The 25,958-nt window shown below is 34.5% G+C and overlaps 1 protein-coding gene across 29 annotated transcripts in view; it reads left to right on the top strand.

The window, feature by feature from the left end:
* Window positions 1-25,958, top strand: part of SUPT3H (SPT3 homolog, SAGA and STAGA complex component) — a 568,878-nt gene that overhangs the window by 333,915 nt on the left and 209,005 nt on the right. For 27 of the 29 annotated variants that reach the window (NR_146632.2, NR_146633.1, NR_146635.2 and 24 more), the window contains one exon: window positions 23,388-23,474. Coding sequence is in view for 17 of the 29 variants with exons in the window: in NM_003599.4 (NP_003590.1) it covers window positions 23,388-23,474 (87 nt within the window). In the remaining 12 variants the exon portion in view is untranslated. The remainder of the gene's footprint in view (window positions 1-23,387; window positions 23,475-25,958) is intronic. The other 2 variants (NR_146634.2, NM_001350325.2) reach the window with 1 other exon arrangement.

Raw genomic sequence — 25,958 nt, 5'->3', positions numbered from 1 at the left:
TGAAAGTATAGGAAAAATGTATTTTTCTTGACTTACATACCTGAAATTAATAAATTCTGTTAATATGGTGTACATTTCTGAGTTTCTCATTTTTAGAAAGGCAGTAAGGGGTTCTTGAAAGCCCTGAGTTGTTTGTAGCTTCAGTTCATTTAGTTTTATTCATAGTGAGTAAAAGCTGAATTTCAATCTCTACCATGCCCCAACAATTATAAATTTGAAATTAGTGAAAGCTGAATTAATGTGGTTTCATCAAATAGTAATGGTGCATAGCTATAATCAGATCATATTTATTTGTGAATTTCTTTCCTTTTTTTTCAGCCTTTAATATGTGTATAGTCTTCCATAGTAGAATAAGCTCCTTGAAGGCAAGCTGGGACATTTTTGCTTTCCATGTTTTCACCTCTTTTTGTTCTTCATTTCCAATTCTAAAAAGCATCTAATATTGTGTCTGCGTGTAGAATAAATGTTCAGAATTTATGTCATGAAGGGATTTTTAACTTAGGTGTAAGTCTCATCATTGCTCCCTGTGGGAATTTTGCCTGAGGAGGAAAAGGACTGTGTTAAAACTAACATTATCTCAGGTACCATGCTCACTACTTGGGTGACTGGATCATTCATACACCAAACCTCAGTGACACACAACTCACCCATGTAACAAACCTGTACATATATCCCTGACACTAAAATAAAGGTTGGAAAAATAAATAAGACCGTTTATTTCTATTTGTGTGCATTTGTCATTTCTCTCATTTTCATGGAGAACAAAACAAAATTAAATAGGTGTTAATTAAGTTAAAGATTTTATACTCTTTTTGTAATTTGCCTTGGTTTTGGTGTTTGTGTGTGTGCGTGTGTGTGTGTGTGTGTGTGTGTGTGTATGTGTGTATGTAAGATACAAGGCTCCCAGAAAAGTGTACTTCTTATGGGATAGTTCAAATAACCAATGAAACAGAAAAGATTCTTTTTTCATGTATGCTATATTGCTTTAAATATTTAGTAAGGGAGGACACTGCCGTTTTGTAAAAATCCTTCTTTGAACAAAATGTTGAGAAAGGGTAATTTTTTAATAAAATAAATAGTTATAGGTATATAACTTAGCTTCTAGCAGTTTTTTTAAGCATTAAAAACTAATTTTCCACATTTTCTTAATCCATTCTATCATTGTTGGACATTTGGCTTGGTTCCAAGTCTGCTATTGTGAATAGTGCTGCAGTAAACATACATGTGCATGTGTCTTTATAGCAGCATGATTTATAATCCTTTGGGTATATACCCAGTAATGGGATTGCTGGGTCAAATGGTATTTCTAGTTCTAGATCCCTGAGGAATCGCCACACTGACTTCCACAATGGTTAACTAGTTTACAGTTCCACCAACAGTGTAAAAGTGTTCCTATTTCTCCACATCCTCTCCAGCACGTTGTGCACATGTACCCTAAAACTTAAAGTATAATTAAAAAAAACAACAACTAATTTTCCCTTATGATACCAAATATGAGTATCTGCCCTATTCCAGACATATAGTAAGCAACCATATCATGTTCTAGGTATGCATTTACCACTATAAGGAGGGATTAGACTGAATGGATTTTGTTTTGAGACGAAGTCTCCCTCTTGTGCCTCAGGCTGGAGTGCAATGCCATGATGTCGGCTCACTGCGACCTCTGCCTCTCAGGCTCAAGCAATTCTCCTGCCTCAGCCTCCCAAGTAGCTGGGATTACAGGTGCCTGCCAAAATGCCCAGCTAATTTTTTTATTTTTAGTAGAGACAGGATTTCACCATGTTGGCCAGGCTGGTCTCAAATTCCTGACCTCAGATGATCAGCCTGCCTCGGCCTCCCAAAGTGCTGGGATTATAGGTGTGAGCCACCACGCCCAGCCAGACTGAATGGATTTTTAAACAAGTTTGATGTTTTTTAAAAAGCTTTCTTTCATAATATTAAATTCAAGTTTTTTATTCTATGCCATACTGTATCTGTATTTTTTAACATAAAAATGATACTTTATTTACTGTCTCTAATATAGTTGACACTTCTGGAAGACGTGCTGCACACTTATGCTTCACTTTGTTTTACCCTTGATGGAGGCCTGCGTACCATGGTATCTTTATACTTTGTAGGATAAGCCCATAATCATCTCATAACCCTAAGAAGGAGTAGCCATTATCCAATATTTGAAATGAGGACATTGGAACCCAGAAAAATTACTGAGTCCTGAGAATATACAGATATCTTTACAATATCCTATTGGTAGGAGACACTTAATTTTACCTGTACCTAGGACTACTGACTAGTGAGGAAGAAATGTTTAGATGTTAAAGAAGAAAAAGAAGGTGGAAGGTAAGAAAAATGGCATGTTTTTTCTTTGCATTTTCAGCTGCTCCTGGAAATTTCTGTTTCAAAAGCAATTTTTCTGATTTGGAAAATTTGGCATTTATTATTCATTAATTTTGAAGGTTTATAAACAAATAGCCAACACTGCCCTGCATCAGTTGGCAACTGCCTTTTTCTGTGTCCTCACTTGTTCATTCTTATTTCTCTTTCACCATTGTCATCTCTCAGTTTCTCATATAGACCAAGTTATTTGCTGTCCAGAAGTCTTTGGACATGTTCTTCCCTGTACCTGGTAGCTACTCACCACCACTCTCTCTCCAGTGAATGCCCTTTGAATAACCAGAGCCCTTTAATCCGTTGGATTTTAAGTCTCAGCTAAAAGGTCACCCACTTAGAAAGGCATTCCTTGACATCATTGTCTAATGTAGGTGTCTCCCCTGCCTTTAAGTGCAGTTTCAGTGAACTGAGTTTTTTATTTTACTTATTATGACTTGTAAATATTTCATTTATTTATTTATTTATTCCCTAACGTAATGGAAGCCCCTTGAAGCTAGGGATATTGCTGTTTTTATCACGATGGCACCCTAGCTCCTAGCACAGTGTTTAGTGTGTAGTGGGCACTCAGTAAGTATGGTTAAGTAAATGAATGAAAACGAATTGAAAACTAAAGCTCACTTTAGTCTTGCTTCTCTAGGACAAGATAGAAAGTAGCCACCAGTTCTCTGGTGAGATTTGTTTGCTAAGATTTTGAAATGGAAAAAATAAATTGCTCATTGAGAGCTTGGGGTCCAATTACTTGGCCTCACATATAAGGGAGGGACAAATCTCTCAAGAGAAGGAAACAGAATATTCAGTTTAAAACTAACAAGTTAAAAACTTGTGACATATTGTGGGTTTGTTGTCTGAATTTCCGTATCAACCTCAATATATTTAATTAATTACACATGTTAAAGTTGTGGGGCTTCTCTGTTATTCAACAGGATTATTGGTAATTAGTATTATTATTTGAGAGCAAATAAGAACAGTAAAAACAGAATATTTAATGTGTTGTTCAAGAGTATGAATTTCTCTTTGAAAAGCTTTTTTGTTTGTTTTTGTTTTTGAAAAGCCACTCTGTGTTGGTAATGGTGAAAGCATTAGGAGAAAACAGGACTTTGCAAGTATATAATTTGCAATTAACTGTCAACATTTCCGAATGCTGTCTTAACAATACTTCATACAGTTGTGTCAAAACTTTCAAACAACTATTTCTTATTGTGACTATTCTTAATCTGCATGTACGAATGTAGATTGCAATAAAGTCTAAGTTCATGTTCAGTACTGCTCGTTTTTGTTTTACATTATAGTATAGCATTTTTCCTCCCACTATATAATTTTCATATTTTCCCCACACTACAGTAGACCAGGGGTCAGCAAACTACAGCCCCATGGGCCAAATACGGCATCCTTTGCTTATTTTCGTAAATAGAGTTTTGTCAGAACACAGCCATGCTCATTCACTTATGTATTGTTTATGGTTGATTTCATGCCACAACCTTGGGGTTGAATAGATGAAACAGCATATGGCCTAAAAAGCTGATGATATTTATTATTTGGTCCTTTATATTAAAAGTTTGTCAAACCCTGCTGCAGATGGTATAAGGGCAGTGACTGTGTGATCACTGTTCATCCCATAAGTCCCCTGACAGAGTCTGACCAACTGCAAAATCCTGTTGCCAGTTTAAAAAGCTGAAAGCCTTTATTCTTATTTGTATAACAGTTGTCCTAATCTGGAACATCTTGTGCATTTTATTCAAGCATAGCAAAGATAAACCCTATTTATCTAGCAAAATTTTTTTTTTTTGCTGTGATTAGGTCAGAGGGTTTTTTTTGTTTGTTTTTTGTTTTTGTTTTTTTCTTTTTTTGAGACATAGTCTCTCTTAGTTGCCTAGGCTGGAGTGCAGTGGTGCAATCTCGGCTCACTGCAGTGGAACCTCCACCTCCCAGGTTCAAGCGATTATCCTGCCTTAGCCTCCCAAGTAGCTGGGAATACAGGAGCCCAACACCACGCCCAGCTAAATTTTGTATTTTTAGTAGAGACAGGGTTTCACCGTGTTGGCCTGGCTGGTCTCGAACTCTTGACCTCGAGTGATCCACCAGCCTTAGCCTCTCAAATTGCTGGATTACATGCCCGGCCCAGGAGTTGTATTTTTTTAAAGTTAGGTGATGGAAACAGATTTGAGAGCAAAAATTAAATTCTTTAATAGTACAGAAATACTGAAATCAATCCTAGCAGTTTTTTTAATTCCTTCAATTTTGACATTTTGCTATTTTGTTTTGATTTTTTGTTTAAAGCCTATCACACGTACCACCTCAGCAAAGTAGATTTGAAATGTTTGGACAATACCCATCCACATATTAAAACACTTTTCTTCCCAAAGGAAGTATAGTAATTTATTCTTTTAGGAGTGTTGTGACTTAAATGCGTCTTTTTCTTCCTGTTTCTTGATCCAATGTAATTAAATAATAGATTTGATTTCATAACTTTTCAAAAGCAATAAAGAGGAAATTATGTTCAGCAGATTTGTTTATTTTTTTTCTGTGCCCTTCCAAAGTTTAAATGGTATCCTTTTTCCTTGCACTAACGGGAAGTGAAATAGCTCTTTCAAATCAATGTCCTTGAGAAATGAATGTTAATTTAAAAATACACCTTAAAGAACAGAAACATAATTTTTCCCTGGAAATATCTGATGATTAAATCTAGTTACATGCTACTTTGAAATAATACCAAGATTTTAATAACTATTCAGTTATTTAAAAATCAGTGCCATGCAATATATACACCCAGTAAAGTATAATTTAATGAATTGCCAAATTAGTCCTTATCAAGTTTTAGTTTTTATACCAAGGTATAATACACCTTTAAACTTTGTCAAAATCATTTCCTTCAAATTGTGTATGTGTATTTTATGTGCTGTATTCACTTGCCTTGTTTATATTGAAAAATAGTTTTCTCCTAATGTTATTAAAAAAAATTACAGAATTAAAGAAGTCCTAATACTTCAAACAGTATAACAACCAGAGGAGTCTTTCCTGTTTACATATAATGAGATAGCTATTTGTACATGTTTTAAAGCCAAAAGTGGACTCAGTCACTTACTAACCAATATTATTCAATGTTTCTAGGTACGATGAAGTGGAAATCATTCATTTCTGATTATTATGACAAATGATGTAAAAACAAAAAACATGAATAGCTCTCAATATGAATAGCTACTCTAATCATTAGGCATTGTGAGCTGTTGGTGGGTGTTAGACACACAGCTCTTTTCATCCATTTTGATTTTACAACTTGTCATATGTGTTTTAATGCTAGTAAAACCTATCTAAAGAAGAAAGTACTTTGATTTTTGGAGGACCTTGATGAATTAATTTGAGTACCCTCTGAACAAGCCAGCTAGCAGTTTCTCTTTGGGCCCAGGGAGATAAATTTGAGACTATTCATAGCATAAGTAAAACTTGAGTAGTTTTTATAAATGAACTGGATATTTTTAGGGTGTTTTTATTCTTTTTAATTTTATCTTTCATTGATTTGTCATGGATGTCGTCAAGACTCTAACAAGACTGTGGATTCCTTCCCATCTAATACAACATTTTACGTATAATTTCAGAAAGTCTATGAGCCCCAGTTAAAATTTCCTCAGTGACAAAATATTTACATGATTAAACCTATCCTTTAAACTTGAAGAGATAGTTTAAAAGCATTAATTGTATAACTGTATTAGTGTAAAAGTAAGAAAAGTTAATTGTAGAGAATTTGAAAAATACAGAAAGTTATAGAAAATAAAAATCACATATGATTTTGTTATCTAGATATAACTACTCCTTAGTATTTTTTTTTTTTTGAGACTGAGTTTCGCTCTTGTTGCCCAGGCTGGTTAATTAATTCTGTTTTCCTACTGAAATAAACTACCCCTTTTATTTTATCTTAAATTCTCATATATTTCTTTCATTTTTTTATTTAATTAATTAATTATTTAATTTTTAATATGGAGTCTCGCTCTGTCATCCAGGCTGGAGTGCAGTGGCATGATCTCAGCTCATTGCAACCTCCACTTCCCGGGTTCAAACAGTTCTCCTGCCTCAGCCTCCCGAGTAGCTGGGATTACAGGAATGCATCACAACACCTGGCTAACTTTTTTTTTCTTTTTTTTTTTGTATTTTTAGTAGAGACAGGGTTTCACCATATCGGCCAGGCTGGTCTCTAACTCCTGACCTTGTGATCCCCCCGCCTCAGCCTCCCAAAGTGCTGGGATTACAGACATGAGCCACTGCGCCCTGCCATATATTTCTATCTTATCATTATGTTCATCTACTTTCATAGTCTCTTCTTTTCTTTTTTTTTCTGCATCTTTTCTTTTCTCCCTCCATTTCTTACCCCCTTCCACTGCAGCCACTCCTACCAAAGCTTTCTAATACAATTATATCATAATTTTCAGTTAATTTATTGGTCATCGTTTTGGCTCTGAAATCACCTGAATTCATAGCTGAATTGTGTATGGTACTATATTTGCATTTTCTTATAATTTTGTTTTATTTTCCTCACAATAATTATCTTATTCCTTTGTTTAGTTTTCTATGTACCAGTAATTCATATCCAGCTCTGAGTGCGACTCTCTTGTCAATATAAATAAAATAAGTATTTCCCACAATATCATCTTTTTGGGGAATACCTCTCCTAGATTCTTCTGTCTGCTTGCTTTGGAAGTTGCTCTTTAAGCTTCCTGCACATCCATCCTGGGATCTACCCTTACATCTTGGGGACTTCCTCTATTCTGTTTGGGACCCCCTATGTCCTATCTTACTTCTTAGGCATAAACCAATGAAAAGTCATCTTCTTACTTGGATTTATTACCTTATTTTGCTGGAACACATCCTCTACTTCCTGAGAAAGAGTCCATGAGTGGTGAATTTTTATATATTTTGCATGTCTTAAACTACCTTAATCTACCTTCACAGGTTGTTGACAGTTTGGCTGTGTGTGAAAACTTTTAGGTTTGAAATTATTTTTCCTCAGATTATGAAGGCATTTTTTCATTATTTTCTGGTGTTTAGAATTATTATAACTTAAACAGTTAGAATGAAATGGCAATGTAACTTTTTAAGCTTTACCTGTGACCTCATTTTTTCTTATCCCTGTTTTTAGTATTACTGTTCATCAGAATTTTGAAATTTCACAATGATATGTCTAGAATCTTTTACATGACATGTCCCCCACCCCACCTTGGCTACTTTTCTGATCTCATCCCCAGCCACTCTCCTTATTCTTAGTATACTGTAGCTGTGTTAGCTCCTTCCCTTTCCTCCAACATGTTCAAGCAAAGTCTTGCCTCAGAACCTTTGCACTTCCTATTCCCTTTGCATGGGGTGTTCGTGAGTACTGCCCTGATTACCCTGTATAAAGTAATCCACAAACTCCCCTCACCTGATCCTTCCTACTCTTCTTATTTGGCATAGCAGTTATTATGACATTGCAAGTTGTTTATTATTTGTCCTCCTGACCACTAAACGATAAGCTTCATGACAACATGGGCGTTATCTGTTTTTATTCAATGCTGTGTCCCTACCATTGAGAATTCTGTTGGATTTTCAATATGAATAGTGAATGTGACTTGGTATGGTCTCTTTTCATCCATTGTGCCTAGGAATTATAATAGTAGATTCAGTTTGAAAAATCCGATTTTTTCATTTCTGGGAAATTTTCTTGAATTGATTCTTCAATAGTTTTTTCACCTCTTTTTTTTTTCTTTCTCTTCCAGAACATCCATTTTGGGATATTGGAACTGTATTAATCCTCTAACTTACCTTTTTTATTTTTCATTTTTTGTCTTAGTTAATTACTAATATACTAGACTCAAGTGTTTTAAGAGAAGCAAATTAAAACGGAAAGTGAGTTTTCTACCCACAGTTACTTCACAATCTGTAATAACTATTTACCTTTATCAGGTCACAGTGTCACTAAAATAAATACGGTTTTGGATAATTTTTCCCTTCTAATTCATACCTACGACTGTGGCAATACATTAACTAAACACATTTTTAAAATACATGATATAAATATTGATGGAGGTAGGGAAGTAATCAGAGTCTGTACATGAATGGCATTGGCATCCAGTTGAGTTGGTAACAATTCGCAACTAAGCTCCACCTCCATCCTTACCTAGTAAGGAGTCAGAGTGCTAGTACTTTTCAGATTACCTCTCCATACAACCTTTTGGACATAAAACAGTGAGGATACAAATGAATATTTCTTGAGAGTCTGATAATAAACAGTACCAGACACTTTGTATACATAGCTTAATATGGTCCATACACACTCCTGAAGTGCAGGTATCATTACATCCATATTAAAAATTGGGAGATTGAAGGTAAGAGACATCAGTTACCTAGCACAAAGTCACATAACAGTGTCAGGTCTAATCCATCAACTGAAAACTTTGAATTTAATGAAAGTCTTAGTAATGCATTTTAAGAGTACATCTGTTATAAACCATATGAAAAATTCTTACCCTACACCAAAAACAAAACATGTTTACATAGAAATACTTAACAGAAATTTATCAGAGACTTTAAATACTCCATAGAAACTATATTAAACTAATTCTGTGTAAGTCCTCTAGCATGCTGGATGTTGATTGGTCAAATTACTGAATTTTACATATTTAAATATTAGCTTCCATGAGCAAACTATTAAATATTAGTGTCCTAAGGAAAATGGGAAAAGTTGTCTACTAGCTGTGGACTACGGTGGAGACAGGAGTTATTGTCTGATAGATTTGTTCAAATCCCATTTTTGTCACTTAGCTGTTCTCAACTACAGATTTCTTATCTGTAAAATATCTATTAAAAATAATAAAACACTGACATCACCTAACAAGGTTTTTACAAGGGTTAGTAGAACTAACAGTTTTGTAAAAATAATGTAAAGTGTCAGAAATTTCATGTTGTATTCAACAAATGCTAATTTATGTTCTTGTTACTGTTATTATTGGTGTTGTCCTTTCTTAAATTAAGTCTCTGAATCTGGAATTACAATTTTCATCATTGGACCATAGTGTTTATCTGGTGCTGGACACCTCCCACCATTTATGTTTTTAAATAGTCTGAACAGAACTACTTTTAAAGAGGACTAAAAACATTCTGCTTTAAGTGTTTTAAGTGGAAAATGGCCCTGGTGAGGCTGTTCTTGATAATTCTAAAGACTTATATGACACTAAATGTCTTCTCTTTCTCTCTCTAGATCCTTTTTTCACCCTTTGTTCTTTTCTGTGTTCCAGGAGGCTAGTCTCTTTGGATCTCTCTTGCCCTCTGACTTCTGGTTGATTTTGGCCTGTGGGAGGGGACTGGGGAGCTCTGAGAGTGGGATGAATGTACAGGGTTGGTTGTATCCCTATCAGGTGGGCTTCTCTAGCCTCCAGCTTCAGGTAACAGCTAATTCCCCCTTAATCCTCTAGGCCTAGGTTTAGTAATGGTTTCATGCTGCTGTTGGAGGAGGAGGAGGTAGGATGGTGAGGAGGCACCACAATCTCCCTGGTCATTTCCCTAAAGCCTTCCCCACATTTTTATAAACAGTTCCTGTATTAAGCTCTTCTTCAGTTACACAGTTTAACTATGCTGTTTCCCTCCAAGCCCCTGACTAATATACATATATTCAAATCAATATTAATACTTCCATTGGGGTCATCCCCAAAGATGCCTCAGACACACATATATTAGCTGAGATTCAGCCAGTTAAATTCTCAAAATTGAACTTTTTCCAAATTCTGATTAGAGACTTGGAGGCATAATCTGATTTGCCTTCAGGCTTAAAATTCATCATGGCTAGTATCTAACTGAACACTAACTCAAGATGGGTAGGAATATTTTCTTTAGATATTTTAGATAATCTGTGGCAGTCTCTTTGAGACACTTAAAATCCATAACCTTAATATAGTCTGGCTTCCTTGTGCAACTTTAGAAAGATGTTAACTTTACACACTCCTCAATATAGTATATAAGTTATGATACCTATCTTGCAGTTGTCTGATTTCTAGCATAAACTCATTGAAATTATTTTAGAATAAACTTTTCATAGTGATAGTCATAATATCTGTACAATATTTATTGTACATCTAAAAGTAATCAGTCTGTAAGCCCTGTGAGGTGAAGGACCATGTTTTCATTTGTTTTCTTCTTGGTTTTGTTGTTTGTGTACTTGCTTTGGTTTGCTTCTGGTTAGCATAATTTCCTTTCTCAGCCCCATGACTGGCCTATACTAGGTGCTCAATAAGTATATATTGAAGGAACAAAGAGGCTACCAGTGTTTAACTAAAAATAATAGATTTTTTAAATCTCCATGCTTGCTTATTTTATTTTAGGTTCAACCACAATACTGTAGTTTGAAGATTTATCCTTCTGAGACTTCTCTTTTGTGATATTACTGCCCTAAGAATCACAAGATAGAAATAAAAGGTTAATATATGTTGGGCTGTTACTATATTTCAGACATTATCTTTTCTCTGTTTTTTTCCCCTTACTTGTTCTTCTTAACATATCTGCAAGGAAACTGGTATTACTCTTATATTTGCTTTTTTGTTTTGGTGAGTTAGTACAATCTTCTCTATATTTAGTTATTGATCACATTCTCACAGAGCACACAGTAGGAGCCAGCAGCGCTCAGTCTTCCTACTCTACTTCCTGTGCCTGTTCCCCTACATCTGCCTACAACTCAGAGTCTTCAGAGGCTTTTACTGAATTGCTTAAATACTGTTTTAGCTCATTCTAACACACATTAATGGAGAGTTTGCATCCTAGTAGAAAGGAAGCCGCCTTCTTATAAAGAGAGCTTTGTAGAGAAGAGTGCTGAGTGGTAAGTTGGCTGAAGTTCTATGAGGACCTGGGCAGTACAATGGAAAGGGAGTGCTTAGGTCTATGCTTGTGTTAGAGAAGACCTCAAAGAGACAGTGATGTCTCACTTTTATTTATGAAGGTTATGAGGTTCCATCTTCTCTACGCTGTTTGCTTCCTTAGAATGTAACTGTATGAGTGTTGCGTAATTGTACCATTTTATCCTGATGTGAATGAATCTCCCAGGAATATCCTGATTTTGGTTTTAGTGACCAGAGCTAAACATTTTCTCAGCCTACCAAGTTATTAGTGGAATCTCTTTTCCTTTTCTATATACATTGCTGTCTTAACTTCTCCCTAGCCAAAAATGAGCCATCCCTAAGCAATACTTATGCAGGTATAGTGTTTTATAGTTCTCTATTTGTCTTTACTACATTATTTCATTTAATCTTTACAATGATCTGTAAGTGTAATAAAATCTGTACTTTGTCACCTTCCTGAGCCCTTTTTAATAACCTGATAGTGAAATATGGAACTGACATCTGAGCTTAGGGAAACCCGACTTTTCATTTCATTTTACATATACTGCATCTAATTTGATAAATACTGTATACAACATGTATTGGTTTTCCTATGCAAGCAATCTTTGGATACAGAATTTGAATAAGGGCTACTTTCTCTGACAAACTGAGGGAGAAGTATATACAAATTATCTCTGTTCATCATATGATGAAAGCATAGGGCAGATGAGAAATGGATAGAGACCAATGTCTTTTACATATTAATTAGCAATTGCATTGCTATAATCCCATTTTGCAACTGTCTTTGGCTTTCAAATACACCTGGAACTATTGAATAGAATACTAAAGTAATTATATCACCTGCTGATTTGTGTACCATGGTAAACATGGTAAGATAAGTCATTACTGCTAAATAAGAACCCAACCCCATACTTCCTTTCATGCACTTGCAGCTAGTTGAGCTGGTTGCTATTTCCACTGGTATGACTAAGTGAGTTTCCCTTAGAGCATTGACTCCCATCTGCACCTTACCAAGTTGCGCCATTCTTTCTTATGGTTCCTCTTTATTTTTTCTCTTATTGATGTAAGTGCTTAATTATGGAACCAAAACTATACCCAGGGTTAAACACTAGAATCAGAAAAGCCAAAAGGATCTTTGGAGCTTATTTGATATTCACCTCTCTTTAGTTCTCACTTGAAGAACCTGAGGACCAAAAAGATCAGCTATTCTGTTAAAAACCGTAACAACAAAACTAATGTGTGCATTGTATTTCATTTTGAGGTAATTTTACATGAGAAATTATTAGAGAAACAATTCGTTCTCTATCAAAAAAGCCCACATTATTTTTCCCTTGAAGTTTGGATGAAAGTTAGCTTACATTTTACAAGAAAGTGATTCTAGTGATGTACAGACATGTTTGGTATGTATCTATGTATGCACACACAAATATGTATTATAATTAAGGATAAAAATATCACACATATATACAAATACATTTATCCACAAATTATTTACATCCTAAATTTTTTAATGGGAAAATGTCATTAATACTTAATAATAATTTGATAATAACCTTTAATCTTTGTGAGTACTAAAAGTTATAAACTTTTTTATGAGTTCTTCACAATTTAATTTATCTTTTCTAAATAAATGTCAATAACATTTACGTCAGGCTAGCTATATGCTGCATGATGTTACCTCACTAAAACATGAAATCATAGGCATTTAAAAAATGTTATGAGACAAAGAAAGTCAAGATGGTTTGGGAAACATTTTCTAAGTAATGATTTTTAAAGCTTCGACTACTGTATTCGACTATAACTTGGAGGTAATAATCTAAAGATTCTGGAACACTCTTCGGGATGTACCACACTAACAGAGGAGGCCACATTTTAACCGAGTTTCATAGCAGATCCTTGCCCTCTGCATGGATCAGGTTCTTAGATCCAGCATCAGAAGCTGCAAATCTAAAATTGGCACTTTCTCTATATATTTTCTCAACAAAAAGACAAAATTATAAAGTTGCTTTTGCCAAAACAAGGGTAATTAGTAATAGAGATAAAATTAGATATCAACTTTCCTTACTCCCCATAATTATTCTAAAGCAGGACTTTATTCTTTCCATTTGGTAACTTTTCTAATCATTACATTGGCCTGTGTGTGGTCTGGTGTAATTCAGTGCTTTTAGTACCCTGATCCAGCCATGAAGACTTAGCACAAGACCTGTGTTTATTCCTGAACATTCTAGGGTGAAATGAAATCAGGCTATCTTGTAAAAACAAATGAGGAAGAGTTCTGAAAAAAACTAAGAAATTCAGTCTCTTACATGTTATATTTTTGTCCTTTGAAGAAACAAGTAAGGGCTACAACCCGTTCAGTAGATGCCTGTTTACAAATGTGAACAGAAGGGAATATGGAAAGGGGTGTGGACATGCCAAGAAGTAAGCTGAGAAAGAAGAGGCATTATTAATGTAGTCAAGTAAAGCACATATTATATAGGCAACCAAAATATCTTATGGTTCTGAATTTTAAGAAATGCAAATGTAACCTTTTCTTAGACTTCAAAAATACATCAATTTCCAGTTACTGAGTTACCAAAGGATAACTATATATTATGTTGAACAAATTCAAGGTACGCTTCTGTCGTTCTGCAATTTTAATTGTATTTTAGATTCAGTAAATAGTCAAATTGTATTTTCATTTCAATAGTTAAATACTAAATAGTTAAATTTTAAAGAGGCTGTGTGTGATAGCTCACACCTGTAATCCCAGCACTCTGGGAGGCCAAGGCAGGAGTATCACTTGAGCCAAGGAGTTCGAAAACAGCCTACAATAAAGTGAGATCCTGTCTCTACAAAAAGAATACAAAAATTAGCTAGGCATGATGGCATGTGCCTGTAGTCCCAGCTCTTCAGGAGGCTGAGGTGGGAGGATCATTTGAGCCCAGGAGTTTGAGGCTGCAGTGAGCCAAGGTAGTGCCACAGCACTCCAGCCTGGGTGACAGAGCAAGACCCTGTCTCTTAAAAAGAAAAATTTTAAAACAGTTATCAATTACAGTTAATTAATACTAAAATACTATGTTATTTAAACTATGACTTTATTTAATTTCAACTTTTAAAAATTTCTAAAATGTGCCTTTGCTTACATTCAAAACTTAGATATATTTAGAGTTGAAAGTTGCTTATGAATAGCTTGTGTGCAAAACAGGTTAAAAGAAAATGTTCAAATGATTATTGCTTCTTGTTCTCCTAATTTCACATTTAAATCACAGAGTAACCACAGAATTAGTTCCATGTTAAGGCTGCTATCTTCATACAGTAAATATATAGTTATTGTTTATTGGATATTTTTTAAGCTTTAGAGGTCACATTGATTGTAACTGAGTAATTATATATATATACACATGCAATATATGTACACACACATATTTTAAAGAATATGTATATATATATATATATACACATACAAATATGTCATATATACACACATAGTATATATGAATGAATTTTTTGAGCCATGAGATCCTGGTAATTATAGCCTTATATATTTTTTAAAACCTGACTTAACTGTGCTTGACTTACTATTCTAAAAAGAACAGTTAAAATGAAACTCTAAAAAGTTAGGCACATCTTTTATCAATTTATATACTCATTTATGTTTCAAATGTCTAAGAAAACAATACCAATCATCAAAAAAGAATAATACGATTATATGGTAGGAAAATACTACGTCAAATACCTTAAATGTAGAGTATTCTGAATGTTAACTTTAGTTACAAATACATTTCCTTTCAAATACTTACTTAGCTCACAATCCTTAGGCTGGGTCTGCATGGAGCCACTGGCTTGGATGTTTTGATCCAAACCTTTTATCTTTCTTTCTTTTTTTTTTTTTTTTTTTTTTTTTGGCAACTGTTTATTCACCAAGAAAGAAAATGTTTTGAAAGGCAAATAAACATTTTTATGGTTAGACTTTTCTATGCAATGTAAGGCTTGATTTAGTGAACGCATCTTCCTCTATTCTGAATAAGAAATCTAGGAGAGAAACATGAATGGCTTAATGTTAAACATGTATTACTTAGTAATAGTTTTGTGTGTTTGGACATCTCTCATAAGTTTGCTGTGAAGGTTAAATGAGATAATATATAGAAGACATGAAGCATAGGATAATAAATTCTATAAATGTTAGCATAAAAAACGAGTGTCAGCTTCCTGTTAAATACGGGTAGTACACATGCTTCAAACTCTGAAAACTCCACTAAATAACAAAATAATTTTAAGTGTATAAACTTACAAGATGTAGAAAATGGGAGAGGACTAAATAGCAGGTGAGAACTGTCAAAAAAAAAAAAATCTGAAAGCTTAAAGTGGGTAGACAGGCTTAATAGACCTGAGGAAAATGAAACTTTGGAACATGGAAAAGTTTGGGATTGAAGGTTCCTCTGAAGAAAGAAGTCTTGTGTAGACTAAAAACAGGAAGATTGGTAAAAGGCATAATTTTATCCCAGTACCCTATCCAAACCATGTAGGCCATTAGCTACCCCTGTGCCATTCTGGCAAAATAGTATAACTTTACTTTGTGGAAAGGTGAAATAAAATGATCTCCAGTATTAGAAATCCTAGACACAAGTCCACCAGCATTCATTTAATAGACATTTCAGGAAAACAAACAAAACAAAAAACAGACAATAGAAATTTTCAAAATAGTCCAAGAACATTTTTCAAATGTAAAGGACAAGAACATACAGGTTGAAGTATTGTTATGAGTATTTAGAAAAATATTTCAAGATAGACCTTCAAAGAAGCATCACGAATTTTCAGAACTTGAAGTATAAAAAGAACAATAGTAAAAGTTTCTCAGACTAGGGGAAAAGTCACACAAAGGCTTAGGAATCATAATGTAATCGACTTGTCAACAGCAACATTTTAAGCTAGAAGAAAAGGTAGCAGTGCCTTGAAAATTCTGAGGGAAAATTATTTTTAATCTAGAATTCTGTATACTCAGCCAGATTATCAATTGAATAGAAGGATGACATAAACACATTTTGAGACATACAAGATTTTTAAAAATTTATTTCCCTTGCACCCTTTCTCAGAAAACTGTAATATCAAGTATATTTCAGCTGTAGCCCACCACAGGGGAGAAAAAGATGTTGTAGTTTGAATCCGTTCTAGTTAAGTGCCTATTTTTTAATCTTCAAAGGAATACAACAAAATCCAGAGTTCCTACGGTATGTTAGTCACAATATCTCAGATAAAACACTAGATTACTTAAAATCTGAAATAACAGGAAAACATGACCCAAAGCCAAGAAAAAATAGTCAATGGAGACTGATTCCAAGATGACACAGATGTTAAAATTAATGTACAAGGATTTTAAAGCAGCTATCATAACTATGCTCATCAACTAAAAAGGAAACTTTCAGATAATATGCTTTGCTGAAATGAGGAAGTAAATGAGGAAGGAAATGAGAAAGAGCAGAAATGGGGTCAAGAAAACAACAATCCAGTCTGGGCACGGTAGCTCCTACGTGCCTGTAATCCCAGCACTTTGGGACACCAAAGTGGGCAGATTACTTGAGCCCAGAAGTTCCCAGCCAGCCTGGTCAACGTGGCAGAACCCTGTCTCTGCAAAAAAATACAGAAATTATCCAGATGTGATGATGCACGCCTATAGTCCCAGCTACTCAGGAGGCTGAGGTGGAAGGATCTATAGTGCCTAGGAGGTTGAGGCTGCAGTGAGCTGTGATCACACCACTGCACTCCAGCCTGGATGACAGAGTGAGACCCTGTCTCAAAAAAAAAAAAAAAAAAAAAAGGATCCAAAGCAGAAGAGTAGAAGGGAAGTCTGGAGGGCTCCAGATGAGATGTCTCATCAAAAGCAAAACTGAAATAAATTCTGATACATTTCAAATTTTTCAAAAATAGTTTGGTATAACATAAACACTGTATATTTAAACAAAAATTATATTTCATAGGTAAAGTCAAGAGGAGAGATGGTCAAATTTGGGGTGTCTAAGAACACTAAATCTTTTTCACCTCTCATAATAAGTCATCTGATAATTTTTAAAGCTGAAAAATAAAACAAGTATTATAAGCTTATTTCAAATATGTTGGTAAATAAAATAGAAACAAGCTTAAAAAGTTAAAGGTGATTGCCACTGGAAGCAGAATTACAGATTCAGAAGAAGTGTGGCAAGGTATTCCTATCTGTCATAAAATTTATAGTATTATTTGACTTTTAATGTTTTATATATTTTTTAAATTAGATATAAAATTTAAAAGTTAAATATAAGACACATAGCACAGCACCTGGCACAAATTAGGGACACAATATATGGCCACTATTATTACCACTAAGATTATAATTCTACTAGTAATTAAAGTCATTGATTACCCATTTCAAATAAAAGAGAAACATAAACCCACAAATCTAGAGAACTTATTTGATGTATCTAAGGTTGTGCAATCACTTAGTGATGAAACTACACTGGAGTTTCCTAACTCCAACTTAGGAAATTTAACTCCAGGTTCTTTCAGTCTTATCATGGAGGATTTAAGAGAAGACCTTTGAGGTTATCTCTGGCTAGCAAATATGGTTGCAAGCAGAGCTGACCATTCATAGCCTAACCTAGAATCTGGCCTGATGGATAATGAGTGCATAATAGATAGACTAATAGAGGGAAAAATAAATAATTTTAAGCCAGGCGATAACCTTACCTAGGATTCTGCCTCTTCATGATACTAGCTCACCACAACTCCTACCGTTTACCATTTATCTTCAAAAAGGACAAATCCAAGGTCTTAGGCAAAACCTAAAAGAAAGAGCTGCAATGGAAGTCTCATTAAAATACTTTCAGTAGCTTAGTAATTGTGGAATAATCAACTTAATTCTGTTGTACATTTTTTTTTTTTTTTTTTGAGACGGAGTCTCGCTCTGTCATCCAGGCGAGAGTGCAGTGGCGCTATCTCAGCTCACTGAAAGCTCCGCCTCTTGGGTTCACGCCATTCTCCTGCCTCAGCCTCCCGAGCAGCTGAGACTACAGGCGCCCACCACCACGCCAGGCTCATTTTTTGTATTTTTAGTAGAGACTGTGTTTCACCATGTTAGCCAGGATGGTCTCAATCTCCTGACCTCATGATCCGCCTGTCTCGGCCTCCCAAAGTGCTGGGATTACAGGCGTGAGCCACCGCGCCCGGCCAATTCTGTTGTACATTTTAAACCTTTTAGAACTTTAGAGAAATCTTTGTGCTGAATTTATGTGGGCCCCAGCCAAATGCAAAAGGCCATCGATTTTACATAGCTTAACTCATTTCTGTTACATTTAAATTGAAAAACTGAAAATCATGGAGGGGAAGATGGATTGCCAACATTTAACAAACATTTATAAATTGCCTGTTCAGGGTCAATGGTTCTGGACCTACGTGTATAATTCAAAAGAAATTTGGGAGGCAGGAGTGTTACAAAACTTGATAACAAGTGCAATTAAGCTATTATGAACTGCATTTAAGTTTTCTATCTACGTTAGATGAGAAACACTGTTGTGTGAAAATAATCATACATCTTATTTTTCTGAGAAAATTATTTTAAAGCTCGTATTTTAAAGAAAAAGTGCCACATCTTATAAAGAATCAGGATTTTCTCATAATTTAACTATAGTACTATATTAGAGACCGGCAGTAAGTATGTGTGAGTGTGCACACCTGTGTGTATGAGAGAGATTTATGTATTATTATAAGGATAATAAATTATAATTATGCAATTATGGAGTCTAAGGATTCCCAAAATCTTCATTTGGCAAGCTGGAGACCCAGGAAAGCCAATGTGTAGATGTTTAGTTCCAGTATGAAAGCCAGCAGCCTCAGAACACAAGAAAACCTGATGTTTCAGTCTGAGACCAAAGGCCAGAAAAGGCCCAGTGTCCCAGGTTATGCATTCAGACAGAAGTTGTTTCCTCTTACTCAGCCTTTTCTGTTCTATCCATGTCTTCAACTGATTGGATGGGGCCCACCCACATTAAGGAGGACAGTCTGCTACTCAGTCTACTGATTGAACTGTTAATCTCATCCAGAAACACCCTCATAGTCACTCCCGGAATAATGCTTGACCAAATGTCTATGTACCCCGCGGTCCAGTCAAATTGACACACAAAATTAACCATCACAAGTACACAAAGGTAAAAAGAACCAAAATTATTGGAGCCTAAATGTAGAATTATATGAGAGAAAAACAATAAATATAATTAGTGGAAAGGCAGGGAAAATATGTGAATCATTCGAGCTTTAAAGACCACATTGAATTTAGATAACAGGGAATTATTAATCTTAGAGCAAGAATTCAGACATTATATTTAAGGGAGATTATAGTAGAACAAATATGGTGGAAATAGCACATTCAAGACCCCTGAGAAGATTAAAAGAAACAACAAAATAAACAGAAATTGGTGAAAATATAATACAGTGAGAAAAAAAATGAATGTCATGGATAGCAATGTGAAATTGAGAACAGATTTATTTATAGGGTCAAAGATGTGGCATTTGAGGTGACATGTAATAGTGTACCTTTTACTTCTCAACCTCCTAATAAAGTATTATAACATACTTAAAATGTAAACATGAGTTTTAATATTTTAGGGAGTTTTTTCCTAACAAAGTTGTTACAAGTTAATATTTTGTTTACTTTGACAAATAGAAGTAATATTAATCAGAAAAAAACAGAAATGCTATAACTGAACTGCTGTTAACACTGAAGTTTTGAGGAACATTTTTGATATTGGTTTCCCAGTTCTACTATTGTTTTCACATTAAATGCACCAATTTTAAGTTTAATGCCTGTGGAATTGGACTGCCCAGTTGCTCACCTGTTTTTTGTTTTGTTTTGTTTTGTTTTTAACTTTTATTTTAGGTTCAGGGGTACATGTGAAGGTTTGTTACATAGGTAAACTCATGTCACTGGGGTTTGTTATACAGATTATTTCATCACCCAGGAATTAAGCCCACTACCCAAGAGTTATCCTTTCTTCTCCTCTCCCTCCTTCCACCTTCAAGTAGGCCCCAGTGTCTATGTTTCCTTTTTTGTGTTCATAAGTGCTCATCATTTAGCTCCCACTTATAAGTGAGAACATGCAGTATTTGGTTTTCTGTTTCTGCATTAGTTAGCCTCCGACTCCATCCATGTTCCCACAAAAGACATGATCTCATTCTTTTTTGTGGCTGCATAATATTCCATGGTGTATATATACCACATTTTCTTTAATCTGTCATTGATGGGCATTTAAGTTGATTCCATGTCCTTGTTATTGTGAACAGTACTGCAGTGAACATTTGTGTGCATGTGTCTTTATGGTAGAATGATTTATACCCCTTGGGGTATATACCCAGTAATAGGATTGCTGGGTCCAATGGTAGTTCTGCTTTTAGCTCTGAGGAATCACCATACCGCTTTCCACAATGGTTGAACTAATTTACACTCCCATTAACAGTGTATAAGTGTTCCCTTTTCTCCACAGCCTTGCCAGCATCTGGTTTGTTTTTTTTTTTTGACTTTTTAATAATAGCCATTCTGACTGCTGTAAGATGGTATCTCATTGTGCTTTTGATTTGCATTTCTCTTAATGATCAGTGTTACTGAGCTTTTTTTTTCAAATGCTTGTTGGCCACATCTATGTCGTCTTTGGAAAAGTGTCTGTTCTTCTCCTTTGCCCACTTTTTAATGCTCACCTGTTTTTGAAGTTTGTATTGTTAAAGAAAACTTTCTTTAGTCTTTCTGGTAGTAGGCAAAAATTTGCAGGAGAAGTAAACCAATGCATAATAACACAGTTGACCCTTGACCAACTTGGGCTTGAACTGCATGGTCCCACTTATATGCAGATTTTTTTCAACCAAACATGGATGGAAAATAGTATTCCTGAGATGTGAAACTCCTCTATAAGGAGGGCTGACTTTTTGGATACACAGGTTCCATAGGGCTAAGTGCAGGACTTGAGTATTTTGGTATGGGGGTAGTAGATGACTTTTGTATGAGTTACTTTAATTAGCTAATAAGATTTCTGTCTTCACTTGGTAGAGAAGAGGAGGTCAGAGTTTGGGAGAGGTAATTTTGGGGTTTGGGACACATCCGGGATAGGCAGGCCTTGGTAAGGTAACATAGTGATACTTTCAGTTCCAGAGACATACTAACTAGGCAGAGGTCCAAGGCAGACAAGGGAGTGGTACCAATGCTAGTCCTAGTAAGGATATTATGTTGGTTGAGATAAATTAGAAAAACAGGTAAATAAAAAACAAAGATAAACTTTTCCTACTACATACGACAGGATAACCATGATATAAATTCCAGATCCTTACAGTGGTCATGTATTGGTTCTGAAAATAAAAAAAAAAAAAAAAAACAGTGATTCCAAATGTTCAACTCTTCTGTGTCTTTATTTTCTATTATCATACTTATCCTGGCTAATATGTTTGTAAACTGATACTTTGGAGAATGTTATGAATAGAGATTATTTATATGTAGTGTGCATAAACTGTTGATTAATTGAGAAAACTATTTAGGGATACATATTTCTCCTGATCCTTCTTAATGTGAGTAAAATTACATGTGTCTGTATAGTGTTTTTCAGATTTCAAATGATCAGCATTCTTCATTTAAGAAAATAAATTTACTGTGTATGTGTCCAGACAAATGTATATATAGCCCATATTCTTCTCAACACTGATTGCCTGTATTTTAGACTGTGATAGAAATATTTTTATTTGAAAAGCATGTGCACATATATTTCCCTCACTCTACCAATTTTTAGAAAAAATATGTTCATGCCTGCTGAAAACAGTTTCTGAGTAGATAACATCATCTTTTTAAAAACCTACCCCCCCACCAAGATTTCTTTTTAAATGGTTCACAGTTAAATTTAAATTTCTATATTTAGATAGGATAGTGTTTATATACCAACCGCAGTATCCAGGAAATTCAGTGGTAAAGCTGACACATAGCGAGTTTATAGTCTATTTTGTAGTCTGTGTATTTAGAGAAGGTTTGAAGCTTACTTAGCAAAAAGGATTAAACATTCAAGCAGAATTTCTTTAGCACAAATGTACTATTTGATTTCATATATTTGTTGAGATAATAGTGTGTCACATTTTAAAGATTAGTTCTCAAGAAAATGTGTTAGGTTTATCTTTTAAAAGAAGGATGCATTCAGGAACAGCTTTTATATGTAACTTTTTATAGTATTTCATATTGGATAGACTTGGTTTGGTGCAATCCGTAAGATTTGATCAAATTTGGAAGAAGTTACAGACACATTTTTATAGTGTTTTCTGTAGCATCTTTATTTTTTTCAGATGGGCGTATTTTATGTTGCTTCCAACTAATCAAAATAAGAAATTGAGTTTGCCTGTGCCAAAAAACGGAACTATCATTTTTCACATTCTTTTATTTTCCATGTCATTTTTAAGTAAGATTATGTTTCTAGGACTTATGAATTCCTGAAAAATCTTGACTTTGTAGATATAAGGGGCTAGATGAACATTTCAGGGGGAATCTAACTTTTAGTGCAGTAATGTTTTGTGTTGTATATTCCAGATACAGTTAACTTTTTGTGTGCATGTGATTAGTATGGAAAGAAATTAATGCAGTCCAGTATTATGATTTATGGACTGAATCCTTTACCCACTGAAGACTTGCCAAAACTAAACGTATTTTTTTTCCTTTGGATATTAGAAACAGCTACTGTTTTTGTTGATCTTTTAAAGTTCTGAATGGGCCTATTTCAAATCAGAGCAGCATGGGAGCTCAGATTAATAATATACTTATTCAACTAGTGATACTGAGTGAAACCATTGCTCACATGAGTATGAAGGATAAAATTTCATGAAATCATTTTCAGGTGCATTAATGCATTTCTGGAAGCTGTGTATGATTTTTCTTTTGCAAGAAAGAAATAAAAGATTTCTGTTTATTGTATTGGTTACAGGTGGGCTCATAAGTTAATTTAATTGCATGTTTTATATCTTAAAAACATAAGACATTTTACTCTTAAAAGCAGTAATGTGATTGCTGGATTATTTCCCAAAGGTTTTTAACTCTTAGTATATTTATCTCTTTAGAGACATCATGACTGTACTATATATAATTTGTGTTACTGAGAAAAATTTCTAAATTTTCATTATTGTTAGTTACAGCAAGCTGCTGAAGTTTCTCAGCTGCGGGGAGCAAGGGTAATCACTCCTGAAGATCTTCTGTTTTTGATGCGCAAAGATAAGGTAATATAACATAATTTTATTGTATTAAAATCCACGTTTTGTTTAATTGAACTTGCATGTGGAAACTATATATCCTTGTTATGTACCTTTCAAATTAAAATAATAACTATTGAACTGATGTTTTAGTCTTCATGGTTTGGACGACAAAATGTGTTTACAAAAGAATTGATATTTATTATGTGGACAAAAGCACTTATATAAAAACTGTGCTAACAGCGAACCCTCACTTATCCTTATGCGTCTATGCAGACACTTTCATTGCTACATGATACTCACTAAATACTGACTCTATGTTCTGTTGTCATAAGTGGGATATAACTGAATGGCATATTTATTTTTCTCCTCTTCTTACAGATTAACATTACCAGGATTATAGACTTTCATAGAGTAATTTTTTAAGCCTGAAATACAAAGTTTAGTCTGTAGCTCTACCTTATTGAAAAAAGTAAATTAATAAAGATTAATTTTCAGTGGGATAAACATATGCCATAATTTCTGTTTTTGAACAAAGGCCTACCTTTCTTACTCTTTGAAATCTGGTATTAAAATATTTAAGCTGATATTTGTGTGTCTAATTTTGCCATAATTATTTTTCATGAGTAGGTAGTCAAAAATATTCTCTAATATTTTACATGTTTCAGTTAATCAACTCTTAGATGATATGAAGAATATTACAAAATGAAAATCTTCACTATTAAGAAAATTATTATTTGGTATAGGGTATCTATATGATTTACTTGAAGAAGAATTTTAAGACTCATGAAACTTCAAGGTTGTATGATTAGATGGAGAGACTGTAGGATTTTTTAAAGTGAAAGTTTCTGCCCAGGGTGAGGCAGTCTTAGGTACAAGGCGCCAGATGCAAAGAAACTATTGAAGATATCAAATAATGTGCATCTAAAGAACTGTGTAAAATGCAGTATGTTTCAGCTATTAATAGAAATCTTGAACCTGAAGGTCAAGAACGAGTGATAATACATTCTAAGTGTAAGCATAGAACAAGCTACAAAGGATTATCAGTTACTTTAAAAATTAAGCAGCATTACGGTCTAATAAATCTAAATGCCCACAAGAGAAAGCAGGAAAGATCCAAAATTGACACCCTAACATCACAATTAAAAGAACTAGAAAAGCAAGAGCAAACACATTCAAAAGCTAGCAGAAGGCAAGAAATAACTAAAATCAGAGCAGAACTGAAGGAAATAGACACACAAAAAAACCCTTCAAAAAATTAATGAATCCAGGAGCTGGTTTTTTGAAAGGATCAACAAAACTGATAGACCGCTAGCAAGACTAATAAAGAAAAAAAGAGACAAGAATCAAATAGACATAATAAAAAATGATAAAGGGGATATCACCACCAATCCCACAGAAATACAAACTACCATCAGAGAATACTACAAACACCTCTACGCAAATAAACTAGAAAATCTAGAAGAAATGGATAAATTCCTTGACAGATACACTCTCCCAAGACTAAACCAGGAAGAAGTTGAATCTCTGAATAGACCAACAACAGAATCTGAAATTGTGGCAATAATCAATAGCTTACCAACCAAAAAGAGTCCAGGACCAGATGGATTCACAGCCGAATTCTACCAGAGGTACAAGGAGGAACTGGTACGATTCCTTCTGAAACTATTCCAATCAATAGAAAAAGAGGGAATCCTCCCTAACTCATTTTATGAGGCCAGCATCATCCTGATACCAAAGCTGGGCAGAGACACAACCAAAAAAGAGAATTTTAGACCAATATCCTTGATGAACATTGATGCAAAAATCCTCAATAAAATACTGGCAAACTGAATCCAGCAGCACATCAAAAAGCTTATCCACCATGATCAAGTGGGCTTCATCCATGGTATGCAAGGCTAGTTCAATATACGCAAATCAATAAATGTAATCCAGCATATAAACAGAGCCAAAGACAAAAACCACATGATTATCTCAATAGATGCAGAAAAGGCCTTTGACAAAATTCAACAACCCTTCATGCTAAAAACGCTCAATAAATTAGGTATTAATGGGACATATCTCAAAATAATAAGAGCTATCTATGACAAACCCACAGCCAATATCATACTGAATGGGCAAAAACTGGAAGCATTCCCTTTGAAAACTGGCACAAGACAGGGATGCCCTCTCTCACCACTCCTATTCAACATAGTGTTGGAAGTTCTGGCCAGGGCAATTAGGCAGGAGAAGGAAATAAAGGGTATTCAATTAGGAAAAGAGGAAGTCAAATTGTCCCTGTTTGCAGACGACATGATTATATATCTAGAAAACCCCATCGTCTCAGCCCAAAATCTCCTTAAGTTGATAAGCAACTTCAGCAAAATCTCAGGATACAAAATCAATGTACAAAAATCACAAGCATTCTTATACACCAATAACAGACAAACAGAGAGCCAACTCATGAGTGAACTCCCATTCACAATTGCTTCAAAGAGAATAAAATACCTAGGAATCCAACTTACAAGGGAC

The sequence above is a fragment of the Homo sapiens genome, chromosome 6 (assembly GCF_000001405.40).
Source record: "Homo sapiens chromosome 6, GRCh38.p14 Primary Assembly".
Lineage (NCBI taxonomy): Eukaryota > Metazoa > Chordata > Mammalia > Primates > Hominidae > Homo > Homo sapiens.
This window is presented reverse-complemented; position numbering and strand designations above follow the sequence as displayed.